The 20,488-nt window shown below is 37.4% G+C and overlaps 2 long non-coding RNA genes across 2 annotated transcripts in view; one reads left to right on the forward strand and one right to left on the reverse strand.

Annotated features, from left to right (window-relative positions):
* Nucleotides 1-20,488, forward strand: part of LOC105371668 (uncharacterized) — a 32,219-nt gene that overhangs the window by 2,635 nt on the left and 9,096 nt on the right. The window contains exon 2 of the long non-coding RNA XR_922387.3: nt 12,519-12,692. This is a non-coding gene — a long non-coding RNA (uncharacterized LOC105371668). The remainder of the gene's footprint in view (nt 1-12,518; nt 12,693-20,488) is intronic.
* Nucleotides 643-18,544, reverse strand: LOC105371667 (uncharacterized). Its single transcript, XR_922386.2, has 3 exons — nt 18,392-18,544; nt 3,505-3,704; nt 643-1,937 (listed from the first exon to the last, which is right to left on the reverse strand). It is a non-coding gene; the product is annotated as an uncharacterized LOC105371667 (long non-coding RNA).

Below are 20,488 nucleotides of genomic sequence, written 5' to 3' on the forward strand. Positions count from 1 at the left end.
AATATTTATGATCATGTGGCTTGGAAATCTAAAAATAGCTTTTTCATAAAAGGCCAGATGCCTAAAACATGAAATAGAGAAGCCAGTAAGCAGATAATTTAGGTTTGTTATTTTATTCACAGTTATCTGGTAATTTGAGTTAAACATAAATAAATATTTGGCTGGATGAGTTTGCAGTCAATTCATTGGTTTTATCATGAGAAGTTTAAAGAGAGATTGATGTCTCCAGTAAAAATATTCTTTGAGTTCATTATAATGAGAAAGGCAGAAAGAGGAAAAAGGAGAAAGAGAAGAAGGAAAAGGAGGAATGAAAGGGAGGAGAATTTTAACTTGTCTACATTTACAGGAAATATGAGAATTCTGACTCCTCCAGCAGAAAAATAAAAATGCAATGCTTGGTGCTAACAAAGAAACACATAATTCACTCTCATATTTTCTCAGATGCAACTGGCTAGCTAGGAAGACAAGCTCAATTATAGAATATCTGTACTTCCAGAGGGACAGTTTGATCTTAAGTTGTCAGAAAATTTTATCACTCCTTTTTACAACAAATACTTGTCTAAGTTAAAGACTATCATTTAACAATGTATGGAGACGTGGCCTGCTTCAGGAGAGGGAAGTTTACAACACGCCTCGCCAGAAGCTTTCCAATCCTTAATGAAAGCCTAAAAATCTAAAAATATTAGTCAAAAGTATTCACAAAAAAATAGTGTCCTAAAAACTAACGTTTCTAAGGTCACTCCAATTCCTGAGTACAGAACACTGTATTAGGATATCCCTGATCAAAAGAGCACATCTCATTCTCTCCCCTCATCTCTAACATTCTGTTCCTCATTTGTAATCGTGACCTGTCAAATGGAGTCTCACTGTGCTGTGTAAGTAAGAGCAACACTAGAAGACCAACATTTCACAAAGAGCAGCCCAGAGGTGATTAAATTTATAAACCCAGAGTCCATAAGCCAGAGGGATTTTAGGCCCCAAGATGTTAGAAAAAAAAAAATTATGTTGGTTATGATGCTTTTGATTAGAAATAAGAGTAAATCTGATTCAAATTTCTTAAACAAACAAACAAAAAGAAATAAAGGAAAAAATAGATGTACAGAAACAATGTTGACTTCCAGAAGTCCACCATGTCTGTTTCTCCATGTGCTCTCAGCTCCGCCCTCCTTCTGAGTCAGCTTTGTCCTCTTTCTAGCTTCCTTTCCAAAAGAAAGACCTGCAGGAGTTCCAGACCTAACGTCCTCATGCCACATTTTCTGTAAGAAATGAGAAAGTTTCTCCTAGTCACTCTTTCAAAAGAGAACGGGAGTATTTTTCCAAAATCTCTTACTTGACATCTTACCTCATCCAGTTAAGAAGAAAGGGAGGGAGACAGTCACAGGCCCACTCTTAAACCAATTACTATAAGTAAAGAGTAAGGGGCTTTGAAGATGGGCAATGAGGACCCTCCCTGGTCCTGAAGGTGAAGTCAGGCCTAAAATGGGTAAGAATGTTAAAGAAGTTTCCCAAAAGAAATAGCTGGATGCTGGTAGAAGAGGGGAAGGCAGGCGGGTGGAAGTCAAGGGAGAATTCTGAGGAGTAAGCAACAGATGCCCATTGCAAGTTATTTAGGATATTTTTTTTAATTGCAGAAACCATTTCTAATTAGCCTAAGCAGAAAATGGCACTTTATTATAAGGCTTCCCAAAAATCACTTAGGCTTAAGAGTATGAATGCTACCAGAAGGATCTGGAACCAGGGGTACAAAGGTCACCGAAACTTTCTCTCCATCCTTTGTTTCTCCTTCTCCATTGGTATACGGTCTCTTCTGTGTTTGAATTGGTCTCCTTTATCCTTAAATCCACATGGCAGTGTAAGACTTCTAAGGCTCCTGATTAGACAAATGTCCAGTTCTCAGAGAAAATGAATCTCATTCTGTGGGTCTTAGTAGTAGAATTCTATGAAAGAGATTCGAATTGAATTTGGATCTGGTGATTGTCCCTCATCATGAGGTAGAGTTATATTTTACAGAATGACTCCAAAAAGTTCACTTTTGTGACGTATGTATGGTGGGATGGACCATGGGGCAGTTCCCAGAGAAGGGATGGCTAAGAAGACCATGCAGTTTTCTACTCCTTACAACATGTTTTGCATGATATTTGTCACATGAAACATTTATAGCATAAATTTTCTTCTAAAATTGAAAATGTATATAAAAAGGAACAAAATATCAAATCCAGGACTTCAAAGAAAGAAGCAAGAGAAAGATTTCTTCCTCAGCACTTGGCCAAAACCCTCTGAGCATCTTTTTTGCTCCAGAAACACTTTGCCCAAGGCCAGTTAGCACATCTTACTGCATCATCACAGTTATTTCCATGCGTGTTCCCTGAGAGGACACCATTTTTTTTTTTTTTTTGAGACGGAGTCTCAAAAATTAGCTGGGCATGGTGGCCTACGCCTGTAGTCCCAGCTATTTGGGATGCTGAGACAGGAGAATTGCTTGAACCCAGGAGGCAGAGGTTGCAGTGAGCCAAGATCGTGCCACTGCACTCCAGTCTGGGTGACAGAGCAAGGCTCCATCTCAAAAAAAAAAAAAGAATAGAGGCAGACTTCAATAAGTATTTGTTAATGAATGAATGATGTTGACTTTAAGCATACATTACAAAAATGTTTCCCAACATTTTTCACATCATGGCACACTTATAAAATTCTATTATTTGGTCTGGACCATTGGGTGTACCCTGAGGCCATTCCCAATCTGAGGTGATTAGGAATGTGTGGCTCTGACAATCCTTGGAACTGGCTGCAGGTGTCAATATCTAGCACGTTTTTATATGGTAGTTAAGAGGAAGAATGGATAATGTAGGGCCCAAATTTTTCATCCTAAATGTCTCAACTCCTTTTAGACTGTAAGATTGTAGAGGACTTTTCTTTTTTTTTTTTGAGACAGAGTCTCACTCTGTCACACAGGCTGGAGTGCAGTGGTGCAATCTCAGCTCACTGCAACCTCTGCCTCTTGGGTTCACGCCATTCTCCTGCCTCAGCCTCCCGAGTAGCTGGGACTACAGGCGCCCGCTACCACGCCCGGCTAATTTTTTGTATTTTTAGTAGAGACGGGGTTTCACCGTGTTAGCCAGGATGGTCTCGATCTCCTGACCTCGTGATCCACCCGCCTTGGCCTCCCAAAGTGCTGGGATTACAGGCGTGAGCCACCGCGCCCGGCCTGGTATCTGCATTTCTTTGCCCAAGGACACATGTCGTTTGCCTGTGGAGCAAGCCCAAATTGGTCCAAAGGAATACTCCCGGGAGCAACTTCAACCTACGACTAATGGAAGTTCAGGTATAAATATACCCGTTGGATAGAAAACAAGTCTGGGGCTTGTTTTTTATACAGACTCCCCCAAGCCCTCCAGTGGGGTTTGATTCTAGTCATCCATAGTAGCTGGCTTGATAATGTCCTGCATTGTCCACTCTCCCTTTCCCATCTTCCTTAACTACCCTCCTATTGGCATTTCCTTTACTTACCAAAAGCACTACTTGCATTTGAATCTCAGGGTCTGCTTCAGTAGAACCTCAACTAAGACATCTTTTCTGCTATCTTGCCTGTGCACTGTGTATGTAACTTTACGACGTCAGTCATTTAAACTTGTAATTGTCCGTCTTCCAATGCCACTAAATGTCTTAAGATCAGGAATTGTATATAATTCTTCTTTGTTTCCCCACATCTAAAAAAAATGCTTGACAATATTAGGCACTCTACAAATGCCTATGGAATAAATGAGTGAATGTTTAAAGAATGAATTTAAAAAGGGAAGGAGGAGAGTAGAATAATAAAGTTAGATTATGGTAAGTCACCAAATACAAAAGTAATTTATGAGAAATATTTTCATTAAGTATAATTTATAAAAGCAAAATCCTACTTACGTTTCACATAATCCATTGGCATATAAAATATCTCTCATTCAGAAATATTTTTTCATTCTGAGATTAAGACAACCTCCTGTAGTGTTTGAGAATTCTGGTTTCAAAGTCTCATAGCTGTGTGATTTAGGTTAGTGTATCTCTAACTTTAATGTGCGTATGAATACCTAAGAATATTGTTATTTGCATATTCTGATTTTGTGGGTGTGGGGTGTAGGGTGCGGCTTGAGAATCTGCGTTTCTAACAAGTTCCCAGGTGATACGGATGCCGCTGGTTCATGGATAGCTAGGCTCTAGGGCAAAAGACACCTATCTCTGCACCTCTGTTTCCTTAACTTAAAAACAAAAGAATAATAACCATGTTTTGCTGGGTTGAGAAGATAAATGAAATAATACATGAAAAGCACTTTAAACAATATCTACCATCTAGAAAACACTCTTTATGTGTTATCTATTATTATTATAAAACTCATGCTGTATACCAATGCTTTTTATGAATATTAAAGTCCAGGGTTAAAAAATAACTGCAAGTATTTTTATTGTTTATTGAATAATTTGCATATTATTAGTATAATACTTATTGTTATGAGAAAAATACAAAAGTCACTGTTGATTAGAAAAAGGCAAACTCTGTAAAATATTTGAAGAGGTTTATTCTGAGGTATCTGTGAGGACCACAACCTGTGACACAGCCTGAAGAGGTCCTAGGAATATGTACCCAAGGTGGTCGGGTTTCAGGTTGATTTTATACATTTTAGGGAGACAGAAGTTACAGGTAAAGACATAAATTAATACCCCTAAGGTGGTATATATCTGTTTGGCCCAGAAAGGTGGGACATCTCAAAAGGGGGAAGAGAGAGAGGATTCCAGGTCATAAGTAGATTCAAAGATTTTCTGATAGGCAATGGATTAAAAGAGTTAAGCCTTTCCTAAATTGCTGAAGTCAGCAGAAAGAAATGCTTGAGGTTAAGATATGGGGGTTTGTGGAAGCCAAGGTTCTTGTTATGTAAATGAAGCCTCCAGGTAGAAGGCTTCAGAGAGAACAGATGGTAAGTATAGGTTATCAGACCTTAAAACATGTCAGACTCTTAGTTAAATCTCTCCTGGATCAGGGAAAATCCTAGTAAGGAAAGAGGATTCTCTACAGGATGTAAATTTTTCTCATAAAAGACAGCTTTGCAAGCCCACTCCAAAATATGCCAAAGACATATATTTTGTGTTAAAATACTTTGATGTCCTTTAGGGCCTGTTACGTCATGTGATACTAGAGTCAGGTTGGATTTGCTATCTTATTGCTGTAAAGAGTCGGTTCTGTCAGTCTTGGGATCTCTATTTTAATGTTAACGCTAGTCAGTTGTGTCTAAACTACAACAGGGAGAGGGTATAATGAGGCAAGACCTATCTCCTCCCTTTTACTCTCATGACTCGAACTAGTTTTTCAGGTGTTTTGTTTTGTTTTGTTTTGTTTGAGACGGAGTCTCGCTCTGTAGCCCAGGCTGGAGTGCAGTGGTGCGACCTCAGCGCACTGCAACCTCTACCTCCTGGGTCCCTTTTCAGGTTTTTTTTTTGGAATCCTGGAATCCCCTTGGCCAAGAGAGGGGTCCATTCAGTCCGTTGGGGGGCTTAGAAATTTACTTTTGGTTTACACCACCTATGTACAATTCAAATATACAGGTACATATAAATTGAATGTAAACAATAAATGATTTTCAGTAGCATAGGTATAAGTGCCAGTTCATGATTAGCTGTCAGGTGGGAAAAGACAGAAACGATGAGGTCCTGCCCAAGGCTATGGGTTTTGGCACAAGACAGGCTTAGAATCAAGCCCTATCACTCCTTAAGCAAGTCAATTAACCTTTATAAGCCTCGCTTTCTCACCTGTTGAGGAGGGAATACTTTCAGCACTCTGACCTGAAAAGAGACAATATATGTAAGACCTTAACCCAGTGCCTGACACAGAATAAGCATTCAATAAATATCAATTTGGGGCACTACTATTAAGTCAAAGACCCCTAGAATTCATTATATGTCTATCAGGCACAGATTCAAAACTATGGATTAGTTGTAAAAAGCATAGGGTTATAAATACCCCAAGACCTGAGCTGAACTAAATTCTGCATCTGGCTACCTCATGGCATGGAACTGGTAAGACATCAGAAGCAGGGATAATTTGGAAAAGGTTCAATCCAGGAAAATCAGTCCAAGGTAAGCAAGCAAGCAGAGTGAAGGAGAGCTCCCAGGGATGTGTTCCAAGCATGCACTGGGCATTGCTTCAGTACCAGCAGACTTTTAACATGATTTTCATCAGAACAGAACATGTGATACTGAATGTCATACTTTAGAAGTTAAGGGAGTGGGGGAGGGATAGCATTAGGATATACACCTAATGTAAATGACTAGTTAATGGGTGCAAGCACACCAACATGGCACATGTATACATATGTAATAAACCTGCACGTTGTGCACATGTGCCCTAGAACTTAAAGTATAATAAAATAAATTAATTAATTAAATAAATAAATAAAATAAGAAGTTATAGGAAACATTGAGTAGTTGATAATCTAGATTTATTCTGATCAGCAAGAACTATCTCACTGGGGATGTGAAAATTATAAAAATCCTAAGAGAGAAAAACAATACCACTTTAACCTTAAAAGCAAAAGATGGTCAACATGGATACAGTAAACGATGCTCTCCAGATGACATGAAAGTATATTTCAAAATTCCAGAGCAAAGATATACAATTCCCTAAAAGGATCACTAAAGGAGGAAGATGAGGCTCAGGAAAAAAATAAGTTGAGTGTTAATTCATATTAGCAAACATTTACTGAGAGTCCTCAAGATGGAGGTGGAGAAGCCTGTAAGGCACTGTAGAAAAAGCCCAAGATTTGAAATCAGACAGACAAGCATCTTCTTGCTTCTTTTTAAGATAACTTAAGTTTAGCAAATGACTTGACCTCTCTGCCTTGCCTACACCTCAATCTTATAAAAATGGCAATAACAAGAAAGCACAATTCTGAGTACTGCGAAAATATAGAGTATGTAAGACATGCAACTGCCCCTCATGTTGGGCAAATGAATGGGAATAAAATTGCCTGGAATATAGGATAGGATACGAAAATAAAATATTGAGGTTATAGATTGACTTCTATAGGAATATTAGGAAGGAAGATATTAATTCTGACTAAGGAAATCAAGTCTTTAAGAAAGAGATGGCATTTGAGTTTGGCCTTGAATTAGGGGTAGGAGTTCTCCCAGTGGAAGTAAGGGAGAGAGAAAAAGAGCTAGTAAGTTTAGGGCAAATATTCCAGGCAGTTTTAGCAAACACATAGAAGCATCAATATATGAAAGTGTTTAGGGACTAGTGAGAAATAAAAAGCATTTAAATGTTCAGGTAAGGATGCAGCAGCAAGAAGCAGAAAACAAGATTGGAAAGTAGGTCAGGATGAGAACATAAAAGACTTTCAACAGCATGATAGGGGCTTGGCATTCTCTGTATTATCAGCAACTTGCAGTTTTATAGGCCTTCATTTCCACATGCATTATCTTTCCTAACATGCACAAAACTTTGAAGTAGGTAGATGGGTTGCTTTTGTTCTCATTTTAATACAGTTAAGGAAATTGAGTCTGAGTGACTTTCTAAGTTAGCAAACAACAAGTATCAGAGTCGGACTAGAAACTAGACCTGCTGCCTATTTGACAGATGCTCTGTCCACACTGCCATGCTTTCTCCATAAGCACTTTGGAGCTACTAAAGTGCCTTATTACACAGGATTTTGAATGCCAGGCCAAAATGTTTGACTTACCTTGTTTTTTGGGCAGAGGACTTACATAAACAGAATGGAAATATCAAGTCTGGCAGCAGTCCGTAAGGATGCACCGGAAAGAAGAGATGCTAAGACTAAATGTAGAAGACTTAAGAACAATCCTGGCAACATGAAATCCAAAAAAATGTATTTGTAAAACTGTGCAATTGAGTTTCAAAATATGCACTTCACAAGCTCAGGTTGCATAAGAACCAGGTTAATAGTTAATGAGATATGGATCTGTGATTTAATTAAGATTAATGTAAGCATTAGTGTTAGGTAGATGCTAAAAACAAATGTCCTGTTGGCTGTGTTACCAGAAAATTCATGTTCAGAATAAGAAAGGTATGAGATCAACATGTTGCTTATATCACCCCCAGAAGTGTGTTCAGTTCCAGGAGTCAAAAACTTTAAGAAGGACACTCCTGAGAAACTGAAGGAGTATAAAACAAATCTACTAGAATGATGGTTGACAGCCAAAAAAAACTATGTGAGTTTTTGTTGGGGGGAAACTAGAAATTTTAACAGAACAAAAGCGAGTGGGGAGGGAGGTTGATTCAAAGGGCAAAACAGATTTTACAGGGCAGAATACAGACCAATTGTGGGATTGCATAGAATGTGGGACATTTACTGCCAAATTAAGAATCGTCTATAAAACACTAAGCTTGATGCTCCAAATGTATGTGCAATAGCTAAGGGGCTATGTTAAGCCATGTTGCTGTGAATTGCTATGGTGGGAAATAGATTTGCCAAGAGGTTTTTAAGGAGGTTTCTAAAAAATTTTGAGTCTATAATTTTATACACATTCACACAATGGTTATTATAAACTTTCAGCAAATTCAAAAGGAAAGGGTAATATAAATCATAGCCATTAAGAAAATAAAGTTGTAAATAAAGTTGTTGCCTTCTAAATAGCTTATCAGTGTTAAATTATTAAATGTACAGTAATGCAATATCAAAGACTCATTATTCAAAGCTTCTTGTTCCTCATAATTTACATTTGCTTTAAAAAAGAAATAGCCAAGAAATTGGACTTTTTAAAAAAGTTTTTTTGGAAATAAAACATTTTCTCTCACTCTCTGTTTAGTGCTATATTGCCTTTTTTAAAAAGTATAAAAGGGAAAAGTTTCTAGAAGTTGTTAAATTTTAAGTCACCCTGGTATTTTTACCAAAAAACTCTCACAGATCATTTTATTAATATACTTTTTTTAACTTGTTTTCTACTCATTTGCCTAATTTAATTCTCCTGTGATTTACTTCTTGTACTGTGATAAATTTGCCTATATAACAAAAGCTTATATATTAGTCATCAGTTTATGTACATGATAAAATCAATCTAATTTACTGTGCTGTTAATTTGAGCCTTTTATTAGCTAGTACATGTGCATTTACAAAATAAAATAACATCGTTCTCTAGCATCTAGATTAGGCTCTGAGGTATCTATTGAAATATGCTAAAAATAGACTTAGAGTATATTTTACTATGTTCTTATTTTCTGTAAATTGCTAATCCAAGTAGTACATAAATCATACTTTAAGCCCCACATCTCCTTTCTTAATAAAAATGCAAAACACATTTATTAAGCACAGAACACATAAAAATTTCTTTTCTATACATAAGATAAATGCAAAAAAATAAAATTTGTGGAAAGCTTTCAATGAGTTTATGATCTAGTTGAGGAAATAAGGTATTTGTGAAGACATAATTAGGACTACTACAAAATATTTTACCATGACAACTAAATGAATAATTACAACCTAAAAATTATTTTTTATAAAATCAGCTCATATTTTTCCATCTCCTTATGTCACCGATTCCTCTTTTGATCAAATAAATTCAAGAAAACAGTATGTAAATTGTAAATCTATATGTTGGCCAGCTAATACTGTTATAGGAAGTGTCTTGAGTAACAGTAAGAATTTCCATATGATTTCATTGCTTCTATTGTTAAACACCTTATACAATAGAGTAGGAATCCTGCTGAAACATGAAAAGGAATTTTTCGGTTGGCTGTGAATGACTGTGGTCAGTTCAGTTCTGTTGTTGTTGATATTTTATTCATTTATTTTTTGAGACAGGGTCTCACTCTGTTACCCAGGCTGGAGTGCAGTGGTGCAATCACGACTTATTGCAGCCTCGACCTCCTGGGCTAAAGCAATCCTCCTGCCTCAGCCTCCTGAGTAACTGGGACTACAGGTGTGCACCACCATGCCTGGCTAATTTTTCATTTGTTGTAGAGATGGAGTCTCACTATGTTGCCCAGACTGGTCTCAAACTACTGGACTCATGCAGTTCTCCTGCCTCAGCCTCCCAAAGTGCTGGAATTGCAGGCGTCTGGCTGTTCTTGTTGTTATTGTTTTAACAGGCACATTCTGTTCTAGTGTTATTTATATTAGAAGGATTTTGTTTTACTGCAGCTCCTCAAAGATTAATTTTATTTATTTTGTTTCATTTGCCAATAATGCATAGTTTAGAGGAGGATCAGACTCAACTCTTTAAAACAGAATAACTTCTATTGTAACACAATGCCCAATTGAAACAACAGCAATTAATGTATTTCTATATCAAATCTTGACATCTGAAAGATTTTCAAACAAATTTTCCTGCGGAATTAAAGAGCAAAGTAGGGGTTTCTTTTAATGTGATAAAAGTGTAGCTAGAGAAAAAAAATCATAAACTATTGAATATCAAAAAAAGTGGTCAACTTTTAACACTGACAAAGCTTCACACTGACAAGAATTTCTCTCATCCCCCAACTTCTTTCCAACTATTTTTATTTATTGTTAGAGTTGCATATTTTAACTTGTCCCCTTATTATCAGTCACTACCAGAAATTATAAATGCTGGCTCATTTTTTTAATAATAAATGCCACAATTCACATGCCCTAATAGCTGTTAAGAAGCAAGGATACAAACCAAGTAATTAGCTTTTAAAAGCCTTAAGTTTACTTTTTGTAAAAAGTAAATATTACCAATAAATATGAACAAACCACTTTTAGAATATGTTATATATATACCAGAAATTGGAGAAGTGTAAGGATAATAAAAGTCTTCAGCCTGTAGAGTAGATTATCTGCATCATGAAGTTCGGTCCAGAAGGTACCACTTTACAATGTGGTTAGTGATGAGCAAACCATCTGAAAAGTAATCCCTCAAAGGTAGCATGGTCTGGGATCAGTGTGAGGCATATAAAAATAAACGAGACACAGTTCTGTCCTTAGGAAGGTCACAGTCAACTTGGGAAGATAAGATACATGCATAAAAACTTCACTAGCAAAGCAGTGTATGATGTCGAAGTAAAGGGGGAAATCCGTGTAGACTAGGATGAGGGAACAAGGTATAATTTGAGCAGGAATTACAGGAAAAAAAGTGAGAAAATAGGTTAGAAAAAATATGAACTGGGTAAGAATCAAGGATGCACAAATTGGGGAGAATAAGTAGACATTTAGTCTTAAGTGGAGAATTTATTTAAGATTCAGTGGAAGATAAAGTTAGAAAAGTAGGTTAGGGTAAGATTTTAAAAGGCATTGAGTGTAAAGATGTCAAATTCTGCCCTTATCCAACCTTGTAAAACTGTATTTGAGGACAGGAGCTGTATCTTTTTTATTCTTGTAGTTTCCTGCTAGCTTAGCCTACTGCCTTTTCTTATAAGAAAATAGTGAGTAGGCACCCAGTGTGTGTGTGTGTGTGTGTAAAATTGAGTTAGCATCTATTGGAAATGCAAAACAATTAAAGGCTTTTAATAGTGACACAGCATGAGTAAACAATGTCTTAAGAAGATTTATCTACCTACACTAGATGATCAAGATGGGGGAAAGGCTGATGGTAAAGAGACCTCTTATGAATAGGAAAGTTAACCCTACTCTATATTTGTTTTATTAGAAGTATCACCTCTTATGGATTTATTTATTTATTTATTTATTATTTTGAGACGGAGTCTTGCTCTGTTGCCCAGGCTGGAGTGCAGTGGCGGAGTGCAGTGGCGCGATCTTGGCTCACTGCAGCCTCTGTCTCCCGGGTTCAAATGATTCTCCTCCTCAGCCTCCTGAGTAGCTGGATTACAGGTGCACACCACCACACCTGGCTAGTTTTTATATTTTTAGTAGAGATGGGGTTTCACTATGTTGGCCAGGCTGGTCTTGAACTCCTGACCTCAGGTGATCCTCCCACCTTGGCCTCCCAAAGTTCTGGGATTACAGGCATGAGCCACCGCAACTGGCCAATTTTTAAAGGCAATCTGGTAGTTAAGTTGGCATTCACAAAGATGCTCACATACTAATTAGCTCACCACATGACTATGTGGACACAAGTTGTACTAAATAAATGTCGTAATTATGATGTTTGTAATTATTATCAGCAGTAGCATCTAAGTTGCTACCAAACATTTCTAACACATTTAGAAAGTGTTAGGGCATGTATTCACTAGCTCTCAATTATAAGATTTTCCTGGAAGAAGAGAAGCAAAAACACTTTCAAGTTTCCTGTGGAAGACATGTTTTAAATTTTAAATTATTATTATTGATACATCACAAAATACTGAAACTTTTAAATAAGGTTTTGGTGGGAGTTTAGGCTTAATCTAATATGCAATATACATGAAAAACTGAGGGCAAACATGGCACTTCATGTCCAGACAGCTGGTTCATAAAAAGGAAAAATAAAGAAAAAGGAAGAAATGTTTGAAATTTAAGTTGGTTTTATCGTTGTTGATCATCATCACAATTGTACAAATAACTTTCATATATAGGCCCGGCTTTGGAATGAAAGTCACTAGGGAGGTTTTATATTTTATAGTGTTGTTCTGTTCCTAGGAGGATGCTGTGACCCCTCAATGGATATGCTAATCATCACATCAGAAGCACAACTAGCTTCAAATGGAAACCAGATTGCACTTGGTCACTGACGAAGCAGGAGATTAAACAAGCTACACTGTGTCTCTGGGAGAACAAAAAGCCAAAAGGCACATTTATCACCTCTGAATCACAGTAAGTCCTGCCTTCAAACAAGATTTTCTTCCCCATGCCCATTTTAAATAGTCAATTAGTAGGTGACAGGGAGGAGCCGAGAAAGGAGGGCCTGGGAATATTTAAAGTCCTGTAATGAGTCATCCCATAATAATATAAATGCATTGCAATGTGTAGAGTGATTTAAAGTTGAAACAAAATCTACCATAAATAAAGTTGGATTTTGGAAGTAGGTAGAGCTAGTTATATGCATAGAAGAAAGGAACAGTCACCTACTTAGGGGAATTTGAGAGACATCAAAAAATTCAACATTTTTCTATCTATAATACAAATCACTCTACCAAAGGGAGCATTTGTCATTTCTATCAGGTTACTGTTAATAAGCAAAAGCTTAACCTAAGTAGAAAAACTTAGAAGTCAGTAGAACATCAAAATATTTACTAATCCATTTACTGATTTGGCAAATATTTTTAATGCCTACCATTCTAGGGTCAAGGAGTAAAGAGGTGAATAGAATACAGTCCCTATTCTCATGGAATTTACTAGTGACCGTAAACAAATATATCATGTGTCAGTGGGTGATGGGTAAAATGAAGAAAAATAAACAGGTTAAGGATGATAATGATGGTGATGGGGGGAGTACAATTTCATACTGGATGGTTAAAGAAGGCCTCTCAGAAAGGAGACACTGGAGACTTGAAGAAGGTGAGGAATGAGCCATGTAAATATATCTGGCGAAAAAAAGATCCAGGCAGGGAACAACAATGCCAAACCCCTGGAGCAGGGCTACCCTTAGACTGTTCTATATATATAGGAAGCTGGCTGTTGTGATTGGAGTCAAGCAAGGGAAAGGGGTGGGAGAATAGGTTCATAAAGGTGCTGGGGCCAGAGAAGGGCAGAAAGATTCTATAGAACATTCAGGCCTTGTAAGTTATTTAGCTTTTGCTCTCAATGGAAACTGATTTGATGGTTTTGAGGAGAGTAATGAGGTGGCATTTTAAAAGGATTATTCTGGTAGCTGTATGGAAGATAGGAAGGGGAAGCCGGGAGACTAAAGAGACAGCTACTGCAGTAATCACATTCAGAGGTGATCCTGGCTCAGAGAAAGGAAAGTGCCCTTGAGGTGATAAGAAGTAGTTGTATTCATGATCTATTTTTCCAGATAGACCTGAAAGATTTGTTTATGGCCTAAGGCACATAGAATAATCAAAGATGAGCATAAGGTTTTTGGTTCAAGCAACTGAAAAACGATGGAGTCATCATACCAAGATGGGAAAACTGGGGAGGAGGTAAAACTGGGGGAGCAAGAGGAAGCTGGGATCAAGACTATGGATTTGAACATGTTACATTTGAGATGCCTAATAGATACCCAAATGAAAAAACCAAGTAGCCAGTTGTATGTATGGAGTTGCAGAGAGGTTGAAGGTGAAAGTATAAACTTGGGAATCGTCAGCTTTTAGAGGATATTTAAAGCTACGGCATTGGTTGAAGTTATGTAGAAACTAAAATAAAGAAGGTGAGAGTCTAATACTGAGACAAAATTTAGAAGTTGGAAACATGAGGAGGAACCAGCAAAGGCGAAACTAAGAAAAAGTAGGCAGAAGTTACGCACAAGAATAATCAGGAATGAATGGAACAGTGTCCTGAAAACCAAGTAAAAAACTTACCAAAAAAAAAAAAAAAAAAAGAGGAAGTAACTGTCAATGCTGCTGATCTGTCAGGTACATTAAGGATCCAGAATTTAACATTTGATTTGACAATTGTGTAAAGTCATTTACCACCTTGACAAAGGAAGTTTCTGTGGAGAGATATGAAGCTAGTATGATTGGAATAGCTTAAGGGAGAATTAGAGAGGAAAAACCAGAGACAGAGATTATGGACAACTCCTTTAAATAGTTTTATTGTAATAAAAAGAAGAGAAATGTGATGGTAATTGGAGAGAGATAGGATTCAAGGCAAGGATTGCTAAAATAAAATAAAAATTGTTTCAGCCAATTTATTTCTTGGTGGGGATCCAGGAAAGTGAGAGGAAGGAAAATGAAAAAAAGGCAGACAATTGCAGGAGCTTATGTCCTTTATTATGAGGGGTTGGGGCCCCGTGGACAATTTAAAATGATGATTGCTTTAAATAAGAGCCCTGAGAATAGTTCTTAATCATATTAATTGATTGGATCAGCAGCCTTTCTGAGTACTAATGATAATATGGTTTTATTGAGCACTCCCAGTGTACCAGGCACTGTCTTAATCACTTTATATATGCTTTGACTTGTCCTCAAAACAACTGTATGAATTAAATTGAGTCTACAACTTATTCCTTTATTTAATCATTGAACAAATAATTAATAAGAGCCTACTGGGTTCCAAGCATTGGATTGGCTGTTGGGGAATAAAAAGTGAACAGCAAAATTATTAGGTAAGAGTTGTGGAATGTTCATTATGTACCAAACCTTATACAAATAACTCTGTATTTATAGTCCAAATAACTCTGTATTTATAGTCTCATATACTTCTCACACCAACTCTAGGAGGTTTGTTTTATCGTTTTAAAGATTAGAAAACTGAGGTTTAGAAAAGTTAAATAGCTGGGCGCGGTGGCTCACACTTGTAATCTCAGCACTTTGAGAGGCTGAGGTGGGTGGATCACCTGAGGTCAGGAGTTCAAGACCAGCCTGGCCAACATGGTGAAACCCTGTCTCTACTAAAAATACAAAAAATTAGCTGGGCATGGTTGTGCATGCCTATAATCCCAGCTACTTGGGTGGCTGAGGCAGGAGAATTGCTTGAACCTGGGAGGCGGAGGTTGCAGTAACCCAAGATCGTGCCATTGCACTCCAGCCTGGACAACAAGAGTGAAACTTCATCTCAGAAAAAACAAAAAAAGAGAAAGAAAGAAAAGTTAAAAACACCAAGGGGAACACATCGATGATTCAAACTCTGGCTATGTGGTTCCACTCTGTTACTTGCACATTCCCTGCCTTCTACACAAGGTCATCCTTTCCATTTGCATTGTATAGAGAGGCAAAAATCATGTTAACAAAAAAAAGGAAAGAAAGAGAGAGAGAGAAGGAAAGGAATTGCAAAATGTGTCAAGTACAGAAAAATTCCAACTAGATGCAAATGCTGACAAGAATTTAGAGAAAAAAGACAGAGAGCATCTATTGGATTTGGCTACATAGAACTCACTAACAAACACGAAAAAGTTCTTTAGGAAGTAATAGTAGAATATGGATTGGAGAAAATTCTTCTAAATATGGTTTTCCTCCCTCCAGATAATTTCAAAAACAGTATTTTGGTTATTTTAGCTTATGCCCAACATTCACTATCAGGATACTGGCTAATCCTTGGCCATTATCACTCATCTCTCATTTTGCCCTTTCAGTTCCACCCACTCCTCATCATTCTCCTCAGCAATCCTGTCAAAAGTAATAGTAGAATATGGATTGGAGGGGGTGGAAGAGTACATGAGAGGTGGGGAGAGGAAGGATGTGATTATGAAAGGGAGCTGAGAAACGAGGAGAGACGTGTTTGCAAGTGAGGTCTTTTTCAACATAGGAGATATTAAGGCCTGTCTTCATGCTAATAGAAAAGACCCAGTAGAGAGGAGCAGTGTCTGTCGTAGAAAATATTGAAAGAACACTGTGCATTCCTAGAGAAAGCGAGAGAAAATAGGGTCTGTAACTCAAATGCAGAGAATAGCCATTAACACAAGAGGAACACTGCCTCTGTATTGTAAGGCAAAGAAGTAGAAAACAGGTGCACATGTGCATTGGTTTGTAAATTTGATAATGGGAAGGAAGACAAAGAAATTTGCTGATAAAAACAAAGCCAGAGTCTGAAGCCAGGTCTCTCTACAACAAAGCATCATGGCCACTGAATTGACAAAACAGCCTTAAAAACAATTTTCTCAGCCTGGCCAACATGGCGAAACCCCATATCTAGTAAAAATGCGAAAATTAGCAGGGCGTGGTGGCGCCTGCCTGTAATCTCAGCTACTCAGGAGGCTGAGGCAGGAGAATCGCTTGAACCTGGGAAGAGGTGGTTGCAATGAGCCAAGATCACGCCACTGCACTCCAGCCTGGATGACAGAATGAGACTCCATCTCAAACAAAACAAAACACAACTGTTCTCAGCTGCTGAGCAGTCTCTGCAGAAACTCATTATTTTCTGAGAGCAAAAATGGCCATAACTCTGCCTCAGCCTGGCTAGAGACATTTCTGCTTGTTCCTCCCTCTCAACAGGGTCACTGCTCAGATACTTCAGGAAAGAACAGAAAGAAGATAGCTTTCTTTATTCTGAGAAAAAGGGCAAGCAGGCAGATTCCTTCCCCACCATTTGTGGGAGAAGAACCTGTCCCACTTGGTTGAAATATTTGAAATATTTACCCTTACTGGACTTTAAGCTGTCAGTGAATGTTGCTCCTGTCAAATTTAGAAACGGTTTCAGAGAACCATTTATCTGAAATGCCAGTTGTTACAACGCTTTTCTCCTTTCCAGCCTCCCTCCACCTAACTTCCCCTCTTATTTCTCCACCTTATTCCTGACTGGTCCTCCCAGTCTTTACTAAAGCAAGATCAAAGCCTTTCTCTTCCGCCTACTCTCTTTCCTTCTCTTTGCCACCTATATTTTCTAATCTTTCTCTGTCAAGAAGTAGCATTCTTCCCATCCGAATCTTCAGGCTAAAATCCCATATTCCACATGGTAGTATTTGACATATGCCACATTTTGTTTTACAGAATGGTTTCTATGACGATCACAGAAAAGTCTTAAATTTAATTGTTTGAAAATCCATCTACATGTGGTTTTCCTCCCTCCAGACAACTTCAAAAACAGTATTTTGGTTATTTTAGCTTATGCCCAACATTCACTATCAGGATCCTGGCTTATCCTTGGCCATTATCATTCATCTCTCATTTTGCTCAGTCAATTCCACCCACTCCTCATCATTCTCCTCAGTAATCCTGTCAAAAAATCAATTTGCTGCTTCCTCTGCTATTAAAGTGGATTATCCAGTAATTATTTCCTTTTAAGGAAGAGAAATGAGGGTGGAAATAAGCTTGCCTCTGTTGATCCCTAACATAGGCATGACTGAATTTCTAGTGCAGGTACTGTACCACTTTAGATAATTTGCAGAGACTGCTGCACTTTAGTCAAGCCTTATTAAAATGGAAATCCTTGTTATAATTCAAGGGCACTTGCTGAATGGTACATTAACGTGTTCACTGAAAGCATTTGCTTTCAGGTAATATGTAATTACTAACATGACTATAATAAATGCTATTGAAGGGGAAGTCCTGTGTATGCCCAAGGCTAGGCCAGGGACAAAGAAATCCAGTAATCAGTAAGGATTATTAGCCCATAGGGAACTCAAAATTTTAAATAATAAAGCAATTTAGTTAGGGCTGTGGCTGCCATGGATTTAGTCCACCTAGGAGAAGAGAGGGTAAAGATATTATCAATATTTGGAAGTTATACCCTAAAACTTGAAATTCAGGACTGCCTCCTGAAAAAAATTAAACTGAAAATAACTCTGAGAGGTGGAAGTTGTTCCTAAAAATATCAGGCACTGTCCTGGGCAATGACTTGTAAATAGGAAGCTGAAATTGTCCTTGAATCAGAGTGCAGCTCTGGTTGGGATCTCTCAGTATTTAAACCTGTGGCATTGACAACCATATTAAGATATCTAAGGAAGAGAACAAAAAGAAAAGGAATAATACAGCTACCTGATCCTCATGCATTCTGTCACACTGTAACTCCAGAGATTGACCCAAAGGACTTCAAGAGTTCCATTTCTGGGTGTAAGTTCTTTGTAGAGAGCATTGATTCACACTAGTGACTGTTTTCACAGTTACATTTTGATAAAATTTCCAACTGACAGAAAAGCTGCAAGAATAGTACAAAGAATTCCTGTTTACTCTTAACCCAAATGTTAATGTTAATATTTTACATTTGCTTTATCATCTTTCTTTCTCAGTATATGTGTATAATTTTGTTTAACTATTTGATCGTAAGTTGAGACGTAATGCCCTTTTACTTCTAAATACTTCAGAGTATATTTCTTATCTAGCCATGTCACAATTATCAAAATCAAAAAATTAACATTGGTTCAATACTGTCACCTTTTTTCCACAGACTTTATTCAGATTTCACTAATGTCCCATTAATGTCCTTTATAATAATAACACAAATCCCAGCTCAAGCATTGATTCCATTGTCATGTCTCTTTAGCTTCCTTTTATCTGAAACTGTTCCTCAGTCCTTCATGGCAGTGACATTTAAATCATACACATCACTTGTTTTATGAATGACCCACAATTTGGATTTGTCAGATGTTTGTGATTAGGTTACCTTTAAGCATGTTTTGAAGAATATCGCAGAGTGATGTTCCTATCTTTCTAGTGCATCATATCAGGAGCTACTCATGTTGATTTGCCCTATTATTGGTGATGTCAACTTTAATCACTGTGTTAAGGTATTTTCTGCCAGGTTTCTCCACTGTAAAATTACTATTTTCTCCTTTGTAATTAATACAAATTTGATGGGGAGCTAATTTGATAATATGGAACTATCCTATTATTTCTCAAACTTTTACACATTAATGGTAGCATTTATCAGTGATTTCTGCCTGAGTTAATCACTATTATCATGGCTGCCAAATGGTCATTTCCCCCATTCCACTGTCATTTGTTGTCAGCTTTCTACTATAAGGAAAACCTTTCCCTCCTCTCCTTTGATTTTATTTACTTACATATCAGTATCAATTCATTCTATTGATCATAATTCATACATATAAATACAATGGATTATAATTTTGCTATCATTATTTATTTCAATGCTCAAATTTGAAACAGATTTAGCCATAACGCAGTGATTTTTTTGAAATTCAGATTTCCGACTTTTATTGAAAAGTCAGTGCTCTGGCAAAACTGGGGCAATAATGCTTTGGATCAGAGTGACTGAGAGAACCTCAAAGAGGCCTGACTTCTCCAGTTTCCAAATTCCCCTCCGGGTTGAATTTACCCATTTACATTACCTAAGCTAGATTGATGCCTCTTATTCTATATGACAGAGATACCCTTCATAAATTGATGGAAATTATTTTTATTTTGGCTTTAATCTCACCAAAGGAAATTTCTAATTATGATTCCTGTATAGATAACTACACGAAGAACATGAGCTGACTATGAAGGTTGTTAGCTTCTCCCTTCTCCTGCTGTTTTCTTACAGTAAATTATTAAATTGGTATTTTGATATCTACTTAAGTTTTGTTTGGATTTTAGCTATTGCTACTTAGTCTCTCAAGACCCTTTTAGACATGGACATCAACTAGAGTATGTCGTGGGCCTTCAAAGGAAAGGCCAAGTTCCATAGCAGCTAGTCAAGATACTACCTGGCCTTCTCTGCTTTAGTCAGAATCTTGTTAGACCACTGGCACACTTTTATCCTCAAATGTTTACAGAGACTGAAGAGTAAATTACAAAGCAAGAGTAGTTGTTTGAGGAGGGAGGATGTTTATATGGTGGGTTAACATTGATAGAAAAGATGGTACAAATGGAAGCTGGTGACTTGTTACCTTAAGCAAACAACTTGCTTAGGAAAGAGAAGAGAAAACAAGGACATTAGAGAAGAGAATCACAGAAGACTGACTAGAAACAGTGAAATGATCAGAAAGGTCTGATCAAAAAAGTGGAAGAGGAAAAAAAAAAAACACCTAAGGAGAGGGTAAGGTAAGTCCCAAGCAAACCACCTAGGTTTCTTATTGTGGTATAAGTTGTATCTAAATGGCTTATGGTTCAATGTTGTCTTTTCTTAATAGTCCA

This window comes from Homo sapiens, chromosome 1 (genome assembly GCF_000001405.40).
Source record: "Homo sapiens chromosome 1, GRCh38.p14 Primary Assembly".
NCBI lineage: Eukaryota > Metazoa > Chordata > Mammalia > Primates > Hominidae > Homo > Homo sapiens.